This window comes from Homo sapiens, chromosome 13, assembly GCF_000001405.40.
Source record: "Homo sapiens chromosome 13, GRCh38.p14 Primary Assembly".
Lineage (NCBI taxonomy): Eukaryota > Metazoa > Chordata > Mammalia > Primates > Hominidae > Homo > Homo sapiens.
In genome coordinates this window covers 32,484,309-32,503,958 of record NC_000013.11, presented here as the reverse complement: position 1 = coordinate 32,503,958, position 19,650 = coordinate 32,484,309, and the positions used below count along the sequence as shown (strand labels likewise).

At 40.6% G+C, this 19,650-nt stretch overlaps 1 protein-coding gene and 1 pseudogene across 33 annotated transcripts in view; both read left to right on the top strand.

Moving 5' to 3' along the window:
- N4BP2L2 (NEDD4 binding protein 2 like 2) overlaps positions 1 to 19,650 on the top strand; it is a 106,384-nt gene that overhangs the window by 34,910 nt on the left and 51,824 nt on the right. Inside the window, exon 7 of one of the 32 annotated variants that reach the window (NR_170387.1) lies at positions 81 to 173. The exons of the other annotated variants lie outside the window; for them this stretch is intronic. The gene's annotated coding sequence lies outside the window, so the exon portion shown is untranslated. The remainder of the gene's footprint in view (positions 1 to 80; positions 174 to 19,650) is intronic. 32 annotated transcript variants of the gene reach the window in all.
- Positions 5,467 to 7,753, top strand: MICOS10P1 (MICOS10 pseudogene 1; annotated as a pseudogene). Its single transcript, NR_051980.1, has one exon. The product of NR_051980.1 is annotated as an MICOS10 pseudogene 1 (transcript).

Below are 19,650 nucleotides of genomic sequence, written 5' to 3'. Positions count from 1 at the left end.
AGTGGCGCAATCATAGTTCACTGTAACCTTGAACTCCTGGGCTCAAGCAATCCTCCCAGCTAATTTTAAAATTTTTTTAGAGCTGGGATCTCACTGTGTTTCCCAAGCTGGTCTCAAACTCCTGGGCTCAAGTGATCCTCCTGCCTCGGTCCCCCGAAGTGCTGGAATTACAGGTATGAGCCACTGTACGTGGCCATGACTAAGTTCTAAGGAAGCTTTACCTTGGTTTTGTAGCTTACGATCTATTAATGTAATTTGACTATTTGAAGTGAAAAAGTTGATTGTGTGAATTAATGATGGAAATAACTTGTTTGTCCTTTACACTGCCTAAAAATTTAGCTTTTTAAATTTTAAGGAATTGTTACCTAGACTTGCATTGAACATTTATTGCACCACTTTTACATGCTAGTGGTGGAAATATAAAAGTAAATAAAGTAAGCCTCCTACTCTTGAATATATAGCTTTATGAAGGGAAGATGGTGGGAACCCAATGGCTCTTCTGTAGAATATGGATTAATACTAGTCTTGCTTTGTGGGATTAACACTTCTGAATGCAGGGACTGTGTTTTTATATCCTTAGGGTCTAGCTCAGTATTAAGCACCTAAAAAAAGCTTGATTTGTGTTTGAAGAATGAATACCCCCAGAAATTATTTCTGCTGGCAGCTTTAAGAAGCAACACTGAGATTTATAGTATTATACTTTAAATTTAATTAAATCATACTGTGTTCCGTGTTTTGAGGCAGTAATTAGTGCAATATAATTTTTTTTTTTTTTTTTTTTTTTTTGCTACAGAGTCTTGCTCTGTCACCTAGGCTGTACTGCAGTGGCATGATCTCAGCTCACTGCAGCCTCCACCTCCTGGGTTCAAGCGATTCTCCTGCCTCAGCCTCCCGAGTCGCTGGGATTACAGGTGCCTACCACCACGCCCGACTAATTTTTGCATTTTTAGTAGAGATGGGGTTTCTCCATGTTGGCTAGGCTGGTATCGAACTTATGACCTCAGGTGATCTGTCCACCTCGGCCTCCCAAAGTGTTTGGATTACAGGTGTGAGCCACCATGTCTGTCCAAATATAAATGCTTTTAATGACTTCTAGTATTCAAAGCTTTCTGAAAATAGAATGTGTTTCATCGAGAAGTATATAGTGAGTTGCTTGATACTGGTGTTCACGGAGCAATGGAGTTCTGTGCTTTCAGACTGCCCCTTAGAAGTATCAGGGATTGTTGTAAAGAGCAGAGGGAGACAGAAACCGCTAATTTAGTACAACACAGAGTTTGAAATTGCAGAATTCGAAGTTAAGTTGCAGTTTTGACTGCACTTGATCAAGTCACTTAATTTTCTGAAACTTTTCCTCATAATTAAATGATTATGCCTTTTTAATCTACAATGTAGAGTTATTAGATGGATTAAGCAAGATGAATATTTTAGAGTTTCAGCTGAAATAGTTCTTATTTTAGTCTTATTTTATAAAGCCGTGGAATTCTGTGATTTTTGTTTGCCTTTTGATGATTTTACCTCTTTTGATAATACAGTGAAGATGAGCAGAGATGGAAACAACCCAGTTTTATAGTAGTTAGCAATGCTGTAATAGGCTGGGCTCACACCTGTAATCCCAGCACTTTGGGAGGTTGAGGAGGGTGGATCACATGAGGCCAGGTGTTCGAGACCAGCCTGGCCAACATCGTGAAACCCCGTCTCTACCAAAAATACAAATAAAAAAATAAAAAATTAGCTGGATGTGGTGGTGCATGCCTGTAATCCCAGCTACTTGAAGGCTAAGGTAGGAGAATTCCTTGAACCCAGGAGGGCAGAGGTTGCAGTGAGCCGAGATCGTGCCACTGTATTCCAGCCTGGGCGACAGAGCAAGATTCTGTCTCAAAAAAAAAAAAAAAAAAAATGCTGTAGTAGGTCTAGAAGGATAAAGTTTGATTTTTTTCATTATCGAATTTATCAAAGATATATTCCTCATTGGCATAGATGGATTAGTCTGGAATTGCTCAAAACAATTTGTTATGATACATATCCCTTTTTATCATGAATACTGGCAAGGTTTTCTCACCTATGTTGCATAGACTGTTGGTATGATCTAATTATGTTGATATTTCCTTTTTTTTTTTTGAGACAGAGTCTCCCTATCTCTCACAGAGATGGAGTCTCGCTGTGTCTCCCAAGCTGGAGTGCAGTGGCGCGATCTCGGCTCAATGCAAGCTCCGCCTCCGGGTTTCATGCCATTCTTCTGCCTCAGCCTCCCGAGTAGCTGAGACTACGGGTGCCCACCACCACTCCCGGCTAATGTTTTTGTATTTTTAGTAGAGACGGGGTTTCACCATGTTAGCCAGGATGGTCTCGATCTCCTGACCTCATGATCCGCCTGCCTCGGCCTCCCAAAGTGCTGGGATTACAGGCGTGAGCCACCGCACCCGGCCGATATTTTCATTTTTTTACTGGCAAATTTGGTATGATTAATTTCACACAGCAGTGTATTGGGCAGCCCACACAAACCTATTTCTTTAAAAGAAAAAAAAAAGGTTTTTATTTTGTTTTAATGTCAAGCTTAATGTGGCAAGTCTTTTTCTCCTCTCTCTCGGTTTTCATGGAGACATTTTCCCCTTGTTTCTCATACGTAACATTATGTGTAATGTTCATGTGACAGTGTGATATCAGCCTATCTGTAGTTATGTGAAACCATTAGTTAACTGCATCCTGGGCTCCTGTGAAATGACTCATTCAGAATGGGAGCATCATTTTGAGGGGATGTCAGTTTTCTGTTTTCACAATAGTTAGAAAAGTGGGCCAGGTGCAGTGGCTCACACCTGTAAGCCCAGCGCTTTAGGAGACCGAGGTGGGCAGATCACTTGAGGTCGGGAGTTCAAGACCAGCCTGGGTAAAATGGCGAAACCTCGTCTTTACTAAAAATACAAAATTAGCTGGGCGTCGTGATGCATGCCTGTAATCCCAGCTACTGGGGAGGCTGAGGCAGAAGAACCGCTAGCACCCAGGAGTTGGAGGTTGCAGTGAGCCAAGATCATGCCATTGAACTCTAGCCTGGGCAACAGAGGGAGTGAGACTCCATCTCAAAAAAAAAAAAAAAAAGAAAAGACTAAAGTGACAGAGTTGTCATAAGACTCAGTAGACAGAAGGGAAGAGGGCACATGTTGGAAGGCACAAGACGACATTTATAATATTTTAAGATACTGTTACATTTTTTATTTTTAAGAATAATAGTACTTTTTTTTTTTTTGAGACACGGTTTCCGTCTGTCACCCAGGCTGGAGTTCAGTGGCATGATCATAGCTCACTGCAGCCTTGGACTCCTAAGTTCAAGCAGTCCTCCTATTACAACCTCTTGAGTGGTTAGGACTACAGGCATGTGCCACCATGCCTGGCTATTTTTTTTTTTTTTTTTTTTTTTGTAGAGACAGGATCTCTACAGGCTAGTCTTGAACTCCTGGCTTCAAGTGATCCTCCCTAAGTGCTGGGATTATGGGCAAGAGCCACTGCACCTGGTGACATATTCTGAATTTTTAGTTATGTTGTTCTTCCTGGCTTACTTTTTATTTTCTACTTTTAAACTGAAGTAGAAGTTATTTAGAAACAATTTACTTATAGAGAAATAATTTTATTTGTAGACAGGATAGGTAGCATTCAGTAGAGAAAGGAAATGAAAAGCAGCTCATCAATAGTTAAATAATTGTTCAAGCAAGATGTGGATAAGTTGCTATGTTATGACACTGATGTGGAACTTCCAAGAAATGTGTTTGGTCATATGAATTCTTTTGGGAGCAAGGTAGACCGCTAAGGCACCGAGCCTATGGTAGATCTCCAGGGCTGAAGCTCAGGTGGGCATCATACCCAAGGCAGCAAGCAGTGAAAAGAGCCACAGTAGAACCCAACTAAAAGTCTCAGAAAACACCAAAGGTTATGCTTGGGAAAAAAGTTCAGTCAGCAAATATTAGACAAGGGCATGGTAAACTGGTAGAGTCAGTAGCCAAGAACTAAAATGGAACTGAGTAAGGTTAGGTGTGTAGAAGAATGATTCTAGAGCATTGCCATGAATGGTGTTGGGATATGTGAGGCTTGTTTTAGTGGCTGTTAGCTGTATGGTTTCTTGGTGAGAGATGGACTGATTTAAAGGTACAGAATTGGACTATAAGCTTCCTGCCTGCCTTCCCAGCCCTGAACAAAGGCTTTATCTGGATTGTCCTTGGTCAGATAGAGGGTGGGACAGGAAGAAGTAAGCTTGGGTAAATTTCCATAGTTTACTCTGACTCTTTATGCCCAGGTTGTGTGTGCTTAGCCAAGGTATAGAGCAGAGATTGGAGTCCATGCAAGAACAGTGTGAAGAATATGATAGATGTAAATTGGAAATGAGAGTTCATGAGATTGACTTTGAATAGGCCCAGAAGAAGACTTCTAGCTTTTGGCGATCATGAGAACATTGTATAGAAAACAAATGAGGCTTCCTTGCTGCATTGACTTTACCAATGTATATAGGAATGCTTTTTTTTTCCCTTAAGTTTTTAAGATGTATCTTGACCCTTGGGACAACCTATGCAGTTAATGTAAAGAAGTGCTTAGTGTAGTAAGGAAGTAACAGATGGAAGCCATAGTTACTAGGGATGAAATGATATTTTCTGGTTGCAGAAATATGAACCAGTAGTGAGAAGAAGTAGTAAAATTCTGTTGTCTGCATGAATGCGTAGCTGTGGGTTACTTTTCACCGTTCAGTTAATTGAGTGGTAGTCAGTGAGTGAAAAGTAGAGGGCCAGGTTCAAGGAAGGCTTCCTATAGGAGTTGGTGCCTAAGCCTAGTTTAAGTCAGACTTAGCAAGAAGGAAGGAATATGGGAGAAGGCCTGTAGGCAGTGGCAGCTGAATAATCAAAGGCTTAGAGGCAAGAAACGGTAATGTATTTATTCATGCAACAATATTTCTTTTTTAAATTTTAATTTTTTTTTTTTTTTTTTTTTTTTAGACAGAGTCTTGCTCTGTCACCCAGTCTGGAGTGCAATGGCACAATCTCTGCTCAGTGCAACCTCCATCTCCCAGGTTCAAACGATTCTCAGCCTCCTGAGTAGCTGGGACTGCAGGTGTGTGCCACCCTGCCCAGCCAATTTTTTTGTAGAGTTGGGGTTTCACCATGTTGCCCAGGCTGATCTTGAACTCCTGAGCTCAAGTGATCCACCTGCCTTAGCCTCCCAAAGTGCTGAGATTATAGGGGTGAGCCACCATGCCCAGCCAAAAGATAAATTTTTAAAAAAATTCCAGTCCATCATAGTCTGATACTTTAGTAATGTATAATAAAGAAGTGATTACTAGGTCCGGGTGTGGTGGCCCACACCTGTAATCCCAGCACTTTGGGAGGCCAAGGCAGGTGGATCACTTGAGGTCAGGAGTTCGAGACCAGCCTGGCCAACATGGCAAAACCCCATCTCTACTAAAAATACAGAAATTAGCTGGGCATGTGATGCACACCTGTAATCCCAGCTATTCGGCTGAGGCACGAGAATCATTTGAACCCAGGACACGGAGATTGCAGTGAGCCAAGATCACACCACTGCACTCCAGCCTGGGCAACAGAACGAGATTCTGTCTTAAATGAATGAGTGAATGAATGAAGTGAATTACAAAAAATTTTAAAATACAAACCAAATGTTTTGTTAAATTCAACAGACATAATTATGTGTCAGCTGCATGCAGTGGCTCATGCCTGTAATCCCAACACTTTGGGAGGAATTACAGGGACCAGGAGTTTGAGACTAGCTTGGCCAACATAGTGAAACCCCATCTCTACCAAAAAATATAAAAATTAGCCAAGTATGGTGGCATATGCCTATATTCTAGCTACTCAGGAGGCTGAGATGGGAGAGTCGCTTAAACCCAGGAGGTGGAGGTTGAAATGAGCTGAGATCATGCCACTGCACTCCAGCCCAGGTGACAGAGGGAGACTCTCTCAAAGAAAAAGGAAAAAAAATTACTGTGTCTAATTTCTATAAAATTTTTTTTTTTACTTATTCTCAATTTCTGTACTTGTGGATCAGTAGCAAACTTCATGGACTGGCATCAGTATGAATGACATTTGAGTAGCACTGTTTGGTGTGCAGCATACTAGAGTAGTGAGAGAAGGAAACATCTGTGGACATTGTATCAACTGGGAGGCCACCGAACATTTTGTCATGTTTGTTGAATAACTTATGCAGCCTCAGGCAGCCTGTCAGGGCAGTGGTGTGGCAAAGCCATAATATTTGTATGGGGCTCATTCTACTGAGAGGCATATCTGCTGTTCTGATAGTGTAGTCTCCTCCATTTTTCCTCCAGCACTCTGCTCTTTGGGAGGCACTGCAGGGTGGCTGTGACTTTGGTCAGGTGTAGCTTATGTTTGGCCATCTCTTGGTTGATCCAGTTTATTTGTCTTAGTTTCAGTGATGGCCAGAGGGTTACAAAGGATTTGGAATGGAGCATGTCTCAGGGTGATGTGAACTCTGTTGTTGCCTGGATTTCCAGATCATGTGACAGAGAATCAGCTGGATCATTTCAGCTGTCCAGGTTATCAGTTAGAATAAAGTTTTTAAAAACTAAAATCTTGGGAGCAAGGAGGCCTCTCTGATGTAAAGAAAGATGAGTAGACTGGTTTATCCCTTCTATGCAGTTAGTACATGAGAGTACCCTGGTCCTTTAAGAGCCAGAGTTCTTTGGGGTTTTTGTTTGTTTTCCCCCATTAAAAAGCACTAGCATTTATTAGGGGAAAATGAGGTTCTCCTCAACTCATGTTTTCCCTCTCTGTATTGTGGAAAATCTGAACCTCACTCTGAAAGTGAATACATCCATTTGAAAGGGATGGCAGGTTACCAAGAGTGTCATTTAATGAAACCCCTCTTTTTCTTGACCAAAAGAGACCTTGTTTTCTTTGAGAAGCAGGAGTTCACTTTAATTTTTATGAACATCTCACACCACTTCCACCTAACCCTACCTACTGTAATATGGGCTGGCCTGTCAAGTCTTGGGCAAGAATAGTGATAAGATGCTATCAGGTCAGAACCCATATTGTTAGAGTAGCTGAAAGATTCAGGAGTTCTTATTTTGAACTCTTGCATGTAGAATCATTACAAGATGTCTCTTAAATGCAGTTAGAGTGAGAGGAAAGCTGGAGCTGTGGGTGGGGAACATGTCAGAGGTGGGGCTCAGCAGGAAGTGGGACCAGTGCCTGCTGGATGTGGTAGATAAGTACCGGTTTTGGATTAGGGATTGTTTTCTCACTTACCTTCTTTAAAAAAAGAATGTGGCCATTAGCCTTTGGTTCTGGCATGGCATTAGGAATGGCTTATTCCAGCAGTCAGCATGATTTCCAGGTTCCATGTCTTCTACATGGAAAACATGTCAAAGGACAGGAGCAGTGACCACCTGACAACATCGCAGTGGGAGGAAAAGAGAAATCATGTTTATTCCTCAGGAATGCTGAAGTACCCTGGAGTAAGCTGTCATTCTTATTATAACAATGTTATTAGTAATGCTTTAAACTCCAGCACACTTGTTATGTATTTGAAACCAAGTCTGTTTCTTGTTTTGTATTTTCTCTCTGGAAATTGTAAGGCGGTGGTCTTAAATACATTAAACAAAAATAGGAAAAAAAGCAGTTAAAATTTGATGGCATATCAGCCAGCTGACCCAATTCTTGGCACAGTCAACAAGTATCTTTGATTTGTTTTCAGCAGGGCTAAGTCATCAGATATGTCAGAAGGGGTAAAAAAAAAAAAATAAAAAATAGGTAGCTTGGTTGCATATGCCTTTTTTCAGAAGTAATATTTAAATTATGTAATAGTTGGTGTGGTGGCCCAGTCTGCCAGCTAGCACATTGCCCTTCCTGGCTGCCTCATTCAAAATTCTGGGCAGGCTGCAGTTCCCACAGGTAACCAACCACATGAAGGCAACTCTGGGGAATCAGTGGTGAGTAGTCACAGCCTCGGAGTCAAAAGGCACCGGCGGGGTGGGGTGGTTCATGCCTGTAATCCCAGCACTTTGGGAGGCTGAGGCAGGCGGATCACTTGAAGTCAGGAGTTAAGACCAGCCCTACCAATATGAGGAAACCCCATCTCTACTGAAAATACAAAAATTACCTGGGCATGGTAGCAGACACCTGTAATCCCAGCTACTCAGGAGACTGAGGCAGGAGAATTGCTTGAACCCAGGAGGCGGAGGTTGCAATGAGCTGGGATCACGCCACTGCACTCAAGCCTGGGAAGCAGAGCGAGACTCCATTTAAAAAAAAAAAGAGGCAGCGGGCATTTGCCTGATGAGGTGCCACTGCCACTGGTGTCTCCTGCTGGGTACCAGGCCAGCTCTGGCAGAGGAGACATGAAAGAACAGGAACTGGATTCAGTAATCTGGACTGGCTAGTGCTATATCTGTTACTTTCCAGACCCATTTGAGTTGCCCCACGTCTGGGTGGGAAAGGTAAGAAATGCACAGCCTAGTCCTTGGGAGTATCTAGAAGAATCCAAAGGCATTGTCCAGAAGGTACAACTTTGGGGGCTGGGGGTAGGGATTGACTGCGTGGGTACTAAACAGAATAGAGGCTGGTTACTGTGCTAGAGAAGGAACCTATGGGCCCTTTAGGGTGCCAGTCCTTAACCTGTTGATGGGTTACTAAGGATCCTTGAGAATATGCTGGGCTACAGGATTAGGCAGTGGCTCAGGACACTATTTGCCAAATGGTAAGAAGAATTTCAGTATTTTAACAAACTTTGAGGCCGTAAGAGTATACTGGCTGAATGTTAGCCCTTTGAAGTCTGAGACTCATGGATTCTTGAGTATCCATAGCAGTTTGTGCATAAGAAAGCTGTGCAGTTTATTCTGATTTTTTTTCTGGGATAGGTAGAGTCCCAGAGAGATTGTATTCGCTGGAGCTAATTGGAAGCTAGAATTTACACCCTCTATCTTTCCTGGGTACAGGGAATAGAGTGTGACCTCTCACTTGTACATGTTGAATTAACAACAGATGTGTTTCTATGTCTGCCAGTTTTAGGGAGAAGTCTGAAGACTTGTGCAGAGGAGGTGGGAGCAAAGGGACTTTGTTGAGGTTTTGGCCAGCCAGATTATTGATAGAACATAGGTCTTGGAGAACACAGCTAGGGCAGGATATTCTGCTTGGGAAAGTTATGGAAAAATGCAGAAGAAATGTTCAAGCCAACGACTTTAGAGAACCTGGGTTACTCTGTCACCCAGGCTGGAGTGCAGTGGCGCGATCTTGGCTCACTGCAAGCTCCGCCTCCCGGGTTCACGCCATTCTCCTGCCTCAGCTTCCCGAGTAGCTGGGATTACAGGCGCCCACCACCATGCCCGGCTAATTTTTTTGTGTGTTTTTAGTAGAGACGGGGTTTCACCGTGTTAGCCAGGATGGTCTCGATCTCCTGACCTCGTGATCTGCACGCCTCGGCCTCCCAAAGTGCTAGGATTACAGGCTTGAGCCACCGCGCCCAGCCTAAAGATAGTACTTTTTTGTTTTCTCCTGTGAATGAGGTGCTATTTATGGATATTCTGGATTCTGTCAAAAATAGTAAACAACTTATTGGTTTCTATTTGATGGTATTAACATGCTAAAAAAATGGTGTATTAGGGCTAAAAGGGATTTACAGGATATCTCCTTCAAATCTCACATTTTATTTTTATTTTTTAATTTTTTAGACCGAGTCTCACTCTGTTGCCCAGGTTAGAGTGGAGTGACGCAATCTTGGCTCACTGCAACCTCCGCCTCCCAGGTTCAAGAGATTCTCATGCCTCAGCCACCTGAGTAGCTGGGATTACAGGCGTACACCACCACTCCCAGATAATTTTTTTTATTTTTTTTTATTTTTAGTAGACATGGTGTTTCACCATGTTAGCAGGCTGTTCTCAAACTCCTGGTCTCAAGTGATCCGCCCACCTCAGCCTCCCAAAGTGCTGGGATTAAAGGCGTGAGCCACCACTCCTGGCCAAATCTCACATTTTATAGATGAGGAAAGCGAAATCCAAAGAGATAAAATAACTTACCGCTTACAGTCAGTCAATAGAAGGACTAGGACTAGCATCCAGGACACCTGTCTTTTAGTCATTTCTTTGCTGTCCCAAAAATCTAAGTATTATAGTGAGTAACATTAGCTTGCAGTTTTTAATAGTTCATCAATAAGTCTGAATCCTTGTCAGTTGCCACACTGGCTACCCAGAAAATTTCAGGCAGTTATATGCCTCAGGCAGTTATATGAAGGTTTATTTCCTTCTTATACATTAAAAATAGTGTGAAACATGATTGAAAATACACTGTTTTAGTCTCTTGATTTTGTATCCACTTTCAACATTTTAATATGAAACCTTGACAGAGACTTTGCTGTAATTTTGGTCTTGAGGGGCGGGGGGACTCATCCAACTCACAGTACCCAGCAGTCTGAGTTCTTCAGATAGGCATAAAGAAACGAGAAGTTACATAATTTTTGTTGAATGGGTATGGTGATGTTGGCAAATGATTAAGCCTAAGAAAAACTGTTTGTGTACCAGTTTAAACCATGAATGTACTGTAAATAGGTTTTGTTGTTGTTGTTGTTTTTATTTTTATACCGCTGAGAGTCAACACTTAATTCTTGGACATGTGCAACATAATGATACACAAATAGATAGAGGCATGAGAACTGAATCAAAGAAGTCAGAACTGAAGGACAGCCAGAAAATGGGTGTGAGCTATCTCTTAAAAAAGGAAAAAAGAAAGAGACTGGGCACGGTGGCTCAAACCTGTAATCCCAGCACTTTGGGAGGCTGAGGCGGGTGGATCACCTGAGGTCAGGAGTTCGAGAGCAGCCTGGCCAACATGGTGAAACGCCGTCTCTACTAAAAATACAAAAAAATTAGCTGGGTGTGGTGGCAGGCACCTGTAATCCCAGCTACTCGGGAGGGTGAGGCAGGAGAATCACTTCAACCCAGGAGGCAGAGGCTACAGTGAGCTGAGATCGTACCACAGCACTGCATCCTGGGCGACAGAGTGAGTGAGACTCTGTCTCAAAAAAAAAAAAAAAAAAAACAGAAAAGCTACAAAACATTCACACATTTTGTTGTTTTCTATGTCTCTGTATAAATGATGAGCTTTAAAGTTAATCCTCAATTTTAAATATACAAAATTTTTAATTTGTACTTTTGATACCATGCACTTTTGGAAATTTTTTATTTTTTGAGAGCATGATACTTATTTCTTACGCTCATGTTTGAAAAGGTTTAGAAATGTGGTTGCTAAATTAGTTTTAAAACAACAACTGTGACTGTTTTACCTGTGTCCAACATGTTGAGAACTCAAAAAGTAGTAAATCGGGCTGTCTTAATAGTGCGCCTGTTACTAATGGAATTTACTTAAAAAGTAAGTTTGCCATATGAAAGGGTATTAATATCCTTTTCAAGCATAACATACAAATGAATTTTCATCTTAAATATATTAACTTCTGATAAGAAAACAGATGCTAGGCCTAAAGATATTTGCTACATAGGAAAAATGATTTTTAAAAAATTTGTCTGGGGTGCCTGTAGTCCCAGCTACTCGGGAGGCTGAGGCAGGGGAATGGCGTGAATCCGGGAGGCGGGTCTTGCAGTGAGCAGAGATCGCGCCACCGCACTCCAGCCTCGCCGACAAAGCGAGACTCTGTGTCAAAAAAAAAAAAAAAAAAAAAAAAAAATTTTGGTGTTTTGGGATGTGTAGAAAATAATATCTTTTAAAAGTGCTAAATCCTAAGTTCATAAGAGTGATGCACATATGAAATTATGCACAGATGTCATCTATCTCATTTCAGGCTTAGGACAAGAAGCAAAATTAAACAAGTTACGTAATATAACATTTTTCTTTTCTGATAGTTTTCAGAAAGTCATTTGTTGCTTTTCAAGTTGTCAGAGTTAGGCCTTTGTGGGGAATATATGAAAAGACTTTTCTTACAAAGGAAATCTTTTTTCTATGTATGCAAATTCCATAATAACTCACCAGTTCAATTAGGAAGAGCTTCTGGTGAATAAATATACTTTTTTCGGCCGGGTGCGGTGGCTCATGCCTGTAATCCCAGCACTTTGGGACGCCGAAGCGGGCAGATCAGGAAGTCAGGAGATCGAGACCATCCTGGCCAACTTGGTGAAATCCCGTCTGTACTAACATACAAAAAATTACCTGGGCGTGGTGGCACGTGCCTATAGTCCCAGCTACTTGGGAGGCTGAGGCAGGGGAATCGCTTGAACCCGGGAGGTGGAGGTTGCAGTGAGCCGAGATTGCGCCACTGCACTCCAGCCTGGGCGACATAGTTAGACTCCGTCTCAAAAAAAAAAAAAATATATATATATATATAATATACATATATAGTTTATACATATAGTATATATAATTTATATATAGTTTATATATAGTATAGTTTATATATAGTATATATATAGTTTATATAGTTTTTTCAGTTTTTATTATTATAAAAACTGTTGATTATTGACATAACTACTTTGTAGCCTAGAGTTCTTTTGGTGTGACCAGCCCATCAAAAGGCATTATTTATAATTTCAAATTACTAGAATTTTTCTACATCCACATAAATTATTTTCCCTTTTTGTATTTCATCTACTTAGTATAACAGGAGCAGGATAAGTCAAAGTAATAATGGTAATGCTGAGATCTGTGAACCTTTGTAATTCATCATGAGCATGTAATAGTTTTATAATATATGTAAAATATGCATGGTAAGCATGATGAAAAACATTGCAATAACCATGCAGGAAGAGTCATTTGAGACCTCCTCCAAATAGCAAAAAATTACCACCCTGCCCCTTTTCCCTTCAGAATCTCAGAACTATGGATTTTCTCTGGGTTCTATTTCGGTTTTTTCTTTTCAGGTTGAGAGCCACTGTATAAGTCTGTCTTAAACCTTGGAGGCATTAGTAGGTCTCAAGGCTCCTGAAAAAAGTATTTTTTTTTTTTTTGCTTTAATCTGGGTGAAAAATGAGGATTTACTCTAATTACAAAACTAAACATTGTATTTCCACCCATTTGTGTAAGTCAGGGATCCCTAACCCCTGGAACTTGGACCTGACCTGTTGGGAACTGGGCTGCACAGCAGGAGGTGAGCGGTGGGCAAGTGAGCATTACTACCTGAGCTCTGCCTCCTGTCAGATCAGCGGTGGCATTAGATTCTCATAGGAGCACAAACTCTATTGTGAACTGTGCATGTGAGAGATCTAGGTTGCTGCACTCCTTATGGGAATCTAACTAATGCCTGATCATCTGAGGTGGAACAGTTTCATCTCCGAAACCACCCCCAAAAAGGTTGGGGACTGCTTGTGTAAGTCACCAAATACTCAGATAAAAACAATAGCTTCGGCCAGGCGCAGTGGCTCACGCCTGTAATGCCAGCACTTTGGGAGGCTGGGGCGGGTGGATCACCTAAGGTCAGGAGTTGAAGACAAGCCTGGTCAACATAGTGAGACCTAGTCTCTACTAAAAATACAAAAATTAGCCGGGCATGGTGACAGGTGCCTGTAATCCCAGCTACTGGGGAGGCTGAGGCAGGAGAATTGCTTGAACCTGGGAGACGGAGGTTGCAGTGAGCCGAGATCGCGCCACTGCACTCCAGCCTGGGTGACGAGAGCGAAACTCCATCTCCAAAACAAACAAACAAACAAAAAAACAAAACAGTAGCTTCCACTGCCCACCTAGTGGGTAAAATTATTCATTCAACGGCACCTACTATGTCACAGGCACTGTCCTATGTAATAGTAGGCAGACAAAACTTCACAAGCCGAAGATGACGAGTAAATTATATGGATGTTAGAAGGTGATAAGTATTAAGGAGAAAAAGTAGGAGGAGGAGGAGAAAGAGTGCTTTGCCCAGGGTAAGATTATGTGTGTAGGGGAGGGGGATGGAGGGGAACTGGTTGCAGTGTTAAACAAGGTAGGGGTCAATATGGGCTTTACCTGAGAAGGTGACATTTGAGCACCTTAGTTGTCCTAATTTTGGCTTAAACAATTATTAAGAGAATTATTGCACAGCATAAAATCTAAGCCTGATCTTTTTTAGTGTTTATTATATGATAACATAAAATTATATTTAGCTGTACATTTTTCTTAGTGAGCAGTAGGTATCTGTGAAGCAATGTTGCCAATGTATTGTGTTATTTCTTAGCATTGGAAATGAACTGCAAGTTTTTTTTTTTTTTTTCAGGAGGGGAATTGACCAAATCTTGGTGATTAAACTAGATTTGTAATATTACAGGATGAACCTTTTGATAGAATTGGAGTTAATGTTAGAATATTGAACCGATTTACCTTCTTAATCGTAGTTTATATGCGTACAGCAGTGTGATCTTGTCAAGGGGAAATAAAAACTCTTTTCCATATTTGAAGCAATCACACTGAAGTAATGAGAAGGTGTTAGAAGATTTGAAAATTAACTAGTTCCTTTGAGGAATTTAAGTTTCAGGAAAATGATGTTTTTATAATCTGTATTCTTAAAATATATGCTGCTTGATCTCCATACATTTTTTAACAATTTGGCTAAGGATAAATATAATGAAGTTAGTTTATTTAAGGATAAGGTAGATGGTAACTTAGGACTTAGCAGTTGTTATTGTTATTACTGGCAATAGTTAACTTTAAAGCACTATTATGTCAAAGTAAAAACAGCGTACATGACAGAAACGGAAAAATTCAACACATCACACTATAGTTCAAATTGGAATTATTCTAATTCGTAGCTGATGAGAATGTAGTGAAGTCATCAAATAAGAAAGTCACCAAATAAACTTTTTTAGAATCTGGGAGTTAATAATTATTGTTAAGCCTTGTTAGCTAGGACTGAATTTGCACACAGGGTATTTCTGTTACAGAATATGTTTGTTTGTTTGTTTGTTCTGAGACAGAGTCTTGCTCTGTCACCCGGGCTGGAGTGCAGTGGTGCAATCTCAGCTCACTGCAACCTCCACCTCCCAGGTTCAAGAGATTCTCCTGCGTCCATCTCCTGAGTAGCTGAGATTGCAGGTGTGTGCCACCATGAGTTTATGTTTGTTAATCAAAGTTTATACTCAATATATAGGTGGATTTATTATTCTAAAGTGGAGCTTAAATATTGAGAAAACTTTAAACACATTGATTTGTATATTTTCTTTTTTTGCCTAATTTCTTTACTGAAGAAAATATTTGGAGTGCATTTATTTATTTTTTCTATTACAAAAGTAGCACATTCACCACACAGATAATCACAAAGAAACCAACCCCTAAAATTTACCACCATTAACATTGTGCATATTCCTGTCTTTCTAAACATGTATATGCACATATGTTTAAATATATAAATATACAAACACATATACATACCTTTATTAAAATTGTGGGATGATAATTTATAATTTAAATGTATAATTTTATTTTATTTTCATTTCAACTTGTATTTTAGTTACAGGGAGTACATGTGCAGATTGAGTACATGGGAATATTGTGTGATGCTGAGGTTAGGAGTATGGATTCCATCACCTAGGTCGTAAGCATTGTATTCACTATGCATCCTCATCCCTCTACCCTCTAGTAGTCCACAGTGTCTCTTGTTTCCATATTTATATCTATGTGTGCCCAGTGTTTAGCTCCCATTTATAAGTGAGAACATGCAGTATTTGGTTTTCTCTTCCTGCACTAATTTGTTTAGGATTATGGCCTCCAGCTCCATCCATGTTACTTCAAAGGACATAATCTCATTCTTTTTATGGCTGCCTAGTATTCCGTGTTGTATATATACCACATTTTCTGAATCCAACCTAACGTAGCTGTATAGTATAATGGTACAGAACATAAAATTTGCAATCAGAGAAACTTGGGTTTAAGCCTAGTTCCATGTGTTTATTAATTATGCAAACTAGGCCTCTATTTCTTTATCTGTTAAATGGGGATGATGATAGTACACCTCTTATTAGTCCGGCGTGGTGGCACATACCTGTAATCCCAGCTACTTGGGAGGCTGAGGCAGGAGAACCACTTGAACCTGGGAGGTGGAGGTTTCAATGAGCCAATATTGCACTGTTGCCCTCCAGCCTGGGCAACAAGAGCGAAAACTCCGTCAAAAAAAAAAATCAAATAAATTTTAGTTAATATAGTAAGCATAATTATTCAGAAAAATAAAGAGCTTGTAAAAATGCTCACAACATAGTGAAATAAAAATAAGAAATGATTCATATTTCCTATATGCCTGCTATGGGGAAGATATTCGTTATATATAAAATCTCACCTAATCCTACAATAACCTCTTTCTTTTTTCCTCTTTTTTGAGATGGAGTCGCGTTCTGTTGCCCAGGCTGGAGTGCAGTGGCGCGATCTTGGCTCACTGCAACCTCTTCCTCCCGGGTTCAAGTGATTGTCCTGCCTCAGCCTCCCGAGTAGCTGGGATTACAGGCGCATGCCACAATGCCTGGCCTGAATATTTTATCTTCTACTTTTTTTTCTTTTCTTTTTCCTTTTTTTTTTTTTTTTAAGACAGGGTCTCACTCTGACTGGAGTGCAGTGGTGCGGTCACGGCTCATTGCAGCCTCAACCTCCCTGGGCTCAGGTGATCCTTCTACCTCTGCCTCCCAAATAGCTGAGACCACAGGTACATGCCACCATGCCCAGATAATTTTTGTACTTTTTTGGTAGAGATGGGATTTCACCATGTTGCCCAGGCTGGTCTTAAACTTCTGGGCTCAAGCAATCCTCTTGCCTCAGCATCCAGAGTAGCTGGGACTACAGGCATATATCACCAAACTGGCTGTAGTCTCTGGCTGATTTTTAAAATTGTTTTAGTGATGGGGTCTCACCATGTTACCTAGGCAGGTCTGGAAATCCTGGCCTCATGTGATCCTTCTTCCTCAGCCTGCTGAGTAGCTGGGATTACGGGTGCGGGCCACTGTGCCTGGCTTCTTTAATTTCTTGCTTGCTTTCTTTTTATTTATTTACTTGTTTTTGAGATGGAGTCTCGCTCTGTAGCCCAGGCTGGAGTGCAGTGGCGTGATCTCGGCTCACTGCAACCTCCGTCTTCCGAGTTCAAATGATTCTCCTGCCTCAGCCTTCTGAGTAGCTGGGTCTACAGGTGCATGCCACCACGCCTGGCTAATTTTTTGTATTTTTAGTGGAGACATGGTTTCACCATGTTATCCAGGATGGTCTCGATCTGCTGACCTCATGATCTGCCTGCCTCTGCCTCCCAAAGTGCTGGGATTACAGGTGGGAGCCACCACACTTAGCCAGTTTATTTTTATTATTATGTTATTATTATTATTATTATTTTGAGATGAAGTCTTGCTCTGTTGCCCAGGTTGGAGTGCAGTGGCGCAATTTTGGCTCACTGCAACTTTTGCCTCCCGGGTTCAAGCGATTATCTTTCCTCAACCTCCTGAGCAGCTGGGACCACAGGTGCAAGCCTCCACACCCAGCTAATTTTTGTATTTTTAGTAGAGATGGGGTTTCACCATGTTGGCCAGGCTGGTCTTGAACTCCCGACCTCAGGTGATCCACCCGCCTCACCCTCCTAAAGTGCTGGGATTACAGGCGTGAGCCACCACACCCGGCCCAGTTTATTATTTTTAATAGTTTTTAATTACATCCCTATGAATTTTCTATGTATGAGATCCTATTATCTGCAAATAGACATGTTTTACTTCTTTCTTTCCAATTTGTATTTTAGAATTTTTTTTCTTGCCTAATCGCCTGTGGTGTAATGTTGAATAGAAATGGTGAGAGTGTACATTCTTGTAGTCTTTTTTCTGATCTTCAGAGTGAAATATTTAGCCTTTCACCATTAAGTATGATGAATGTGGAGTTTTCGTACATGTTTTATATCAGATTGGGGAGCTTCATTTCTGTTCCTAGTTTATTTTGATTTAGGTGTTTGTTTGTTTGAGATGACATCTCTGTTCGCCAGGCTGGAGTGCAGTGGCATAATCTTGGTTCACCGCAACCTCTGCCTCCCAGGCTCAAGCAACACTTCCACCTCAGCCTCCTGAGTGGCTCAGACTACAGGCCCACATCACCACACTCAGCTAACTTTTTAATATTTTTGTAGAGACAAGGTCTCACTATATTGCCCAGATTGGTCTTGAACTCCTAGGTTCAACTGATCCTCCCACCTTGGCCTCCCAAAGTGCTGGGATTACAGGTGTCAGCCACCATGCCCAGCTCTTAGTTTTCTTCCTGTTTCTAGTTTGTTAAGGATTTCTGTCATGACAGAATGTTAGATTTTGCCCATGTTTTTTCTGCATCTTTTGAGATGATGATGTGGTTTTTATCCTTTGTTCTACTGATATGGTTTATTACATTAATTGAATTTTGGATGTTAAACTAACCTTGCTTTCCTGAGATAACATCACATTTGGTCACAGAGTGTAATCATTTTTTTATATAGCTAGATTTAGTCAGCTATTTTTTTGAGGTTTTGCATCCATATTCATAGGAAATATTAGTTTGTATATTTCTGTTTTTGTGTGATGTTTTTGGTTTTTATATCAAAGTGATACTGGCCTCATAGGCTAAATTGGGAAGTATTCCTTCCTCTTCTATTTTTAGAAGAGTTTCTTAAGAATTGATATTCTTCTTTAAATGTTTGATAGCGTTCACCAATGAAGCCATCTGGGCCTGGGCTTTTTTGTGTGTGTGAAGTTCTGAACATCTTTTAAAATCTAGTTTACCTCCTTTTCCAACTGTTCTTCATTTACTTCAGGAACTCTTCTGATTTCCTTTTTGTGTGGGTAAAAAGTAAATGACTTTAATCTTATTTGACAAGAATAATAATCATGTTATACCATTTTCAGTAACAAACAAAATAACAAGGAAGGTGAGAATAAAGGAAGGAAAGAAAACAAATGACATATTTCTAGTGAAATTTTTTGAGGTTAGCCTGTGACTATAATAAAATTATTTTGTAGCAGTGTACCAAGATGTCAGTTTGCACAGCTCTGTAGAAAACAACTATTTTGTAAGTTGAAAATTTTCTGCATTCTAAGTATTCTTTATAAATGTGTTCTTATGCTTTTAATTTTATGGCTAAAGGCTATTCATTTTGTGGCAATAATTTAGTTATGAGGTTATCTAAGTAGAAATAATTCAACATATTCTAACAGTATTTCATATACTTAAGATGAAGGCAAGATTGTATTTTCTAGCTATTTTTTAAAAAGAATTACAGCCGGGCATGGTGGCTCACACCTGTTTTCCCAGCACTTTGGGAGACTGAGGCTTGCGGATCACTTGAGGTCAGGAGTTCGAGAACAGCCTGGCCAACATGGTGAAACCCCATCTCTACCAAAAATACAAAAATTAGCTGGGCGTGGTGGCGCTGTGCCAGTAATCCCAGCTACTTGGGAGGCTGAGGCAGGAGGATCCTTTGAACCCGGGAGGCGGAGGTTGCAGTGAGCCGAGATCACGTCATTGCACTCCAGTCTGGGCAATGAGAGTGGAACTGTGTCTCAAAAAAAGAAAAAAAAACCTACCCTAGATCCATTTTTAAGAAGCAAATGACTTTATTAAAGATGAAAAACCTTTAGCTATATTTTTTCAAGTTTATGTTTGCAGTTAAATGCAACTAATAGCACATGATACTGTTTTTCTTATTTTTAATTTATTTTTTATGTATTTATTTTTTGAGTCAGGGTCTTTCTCT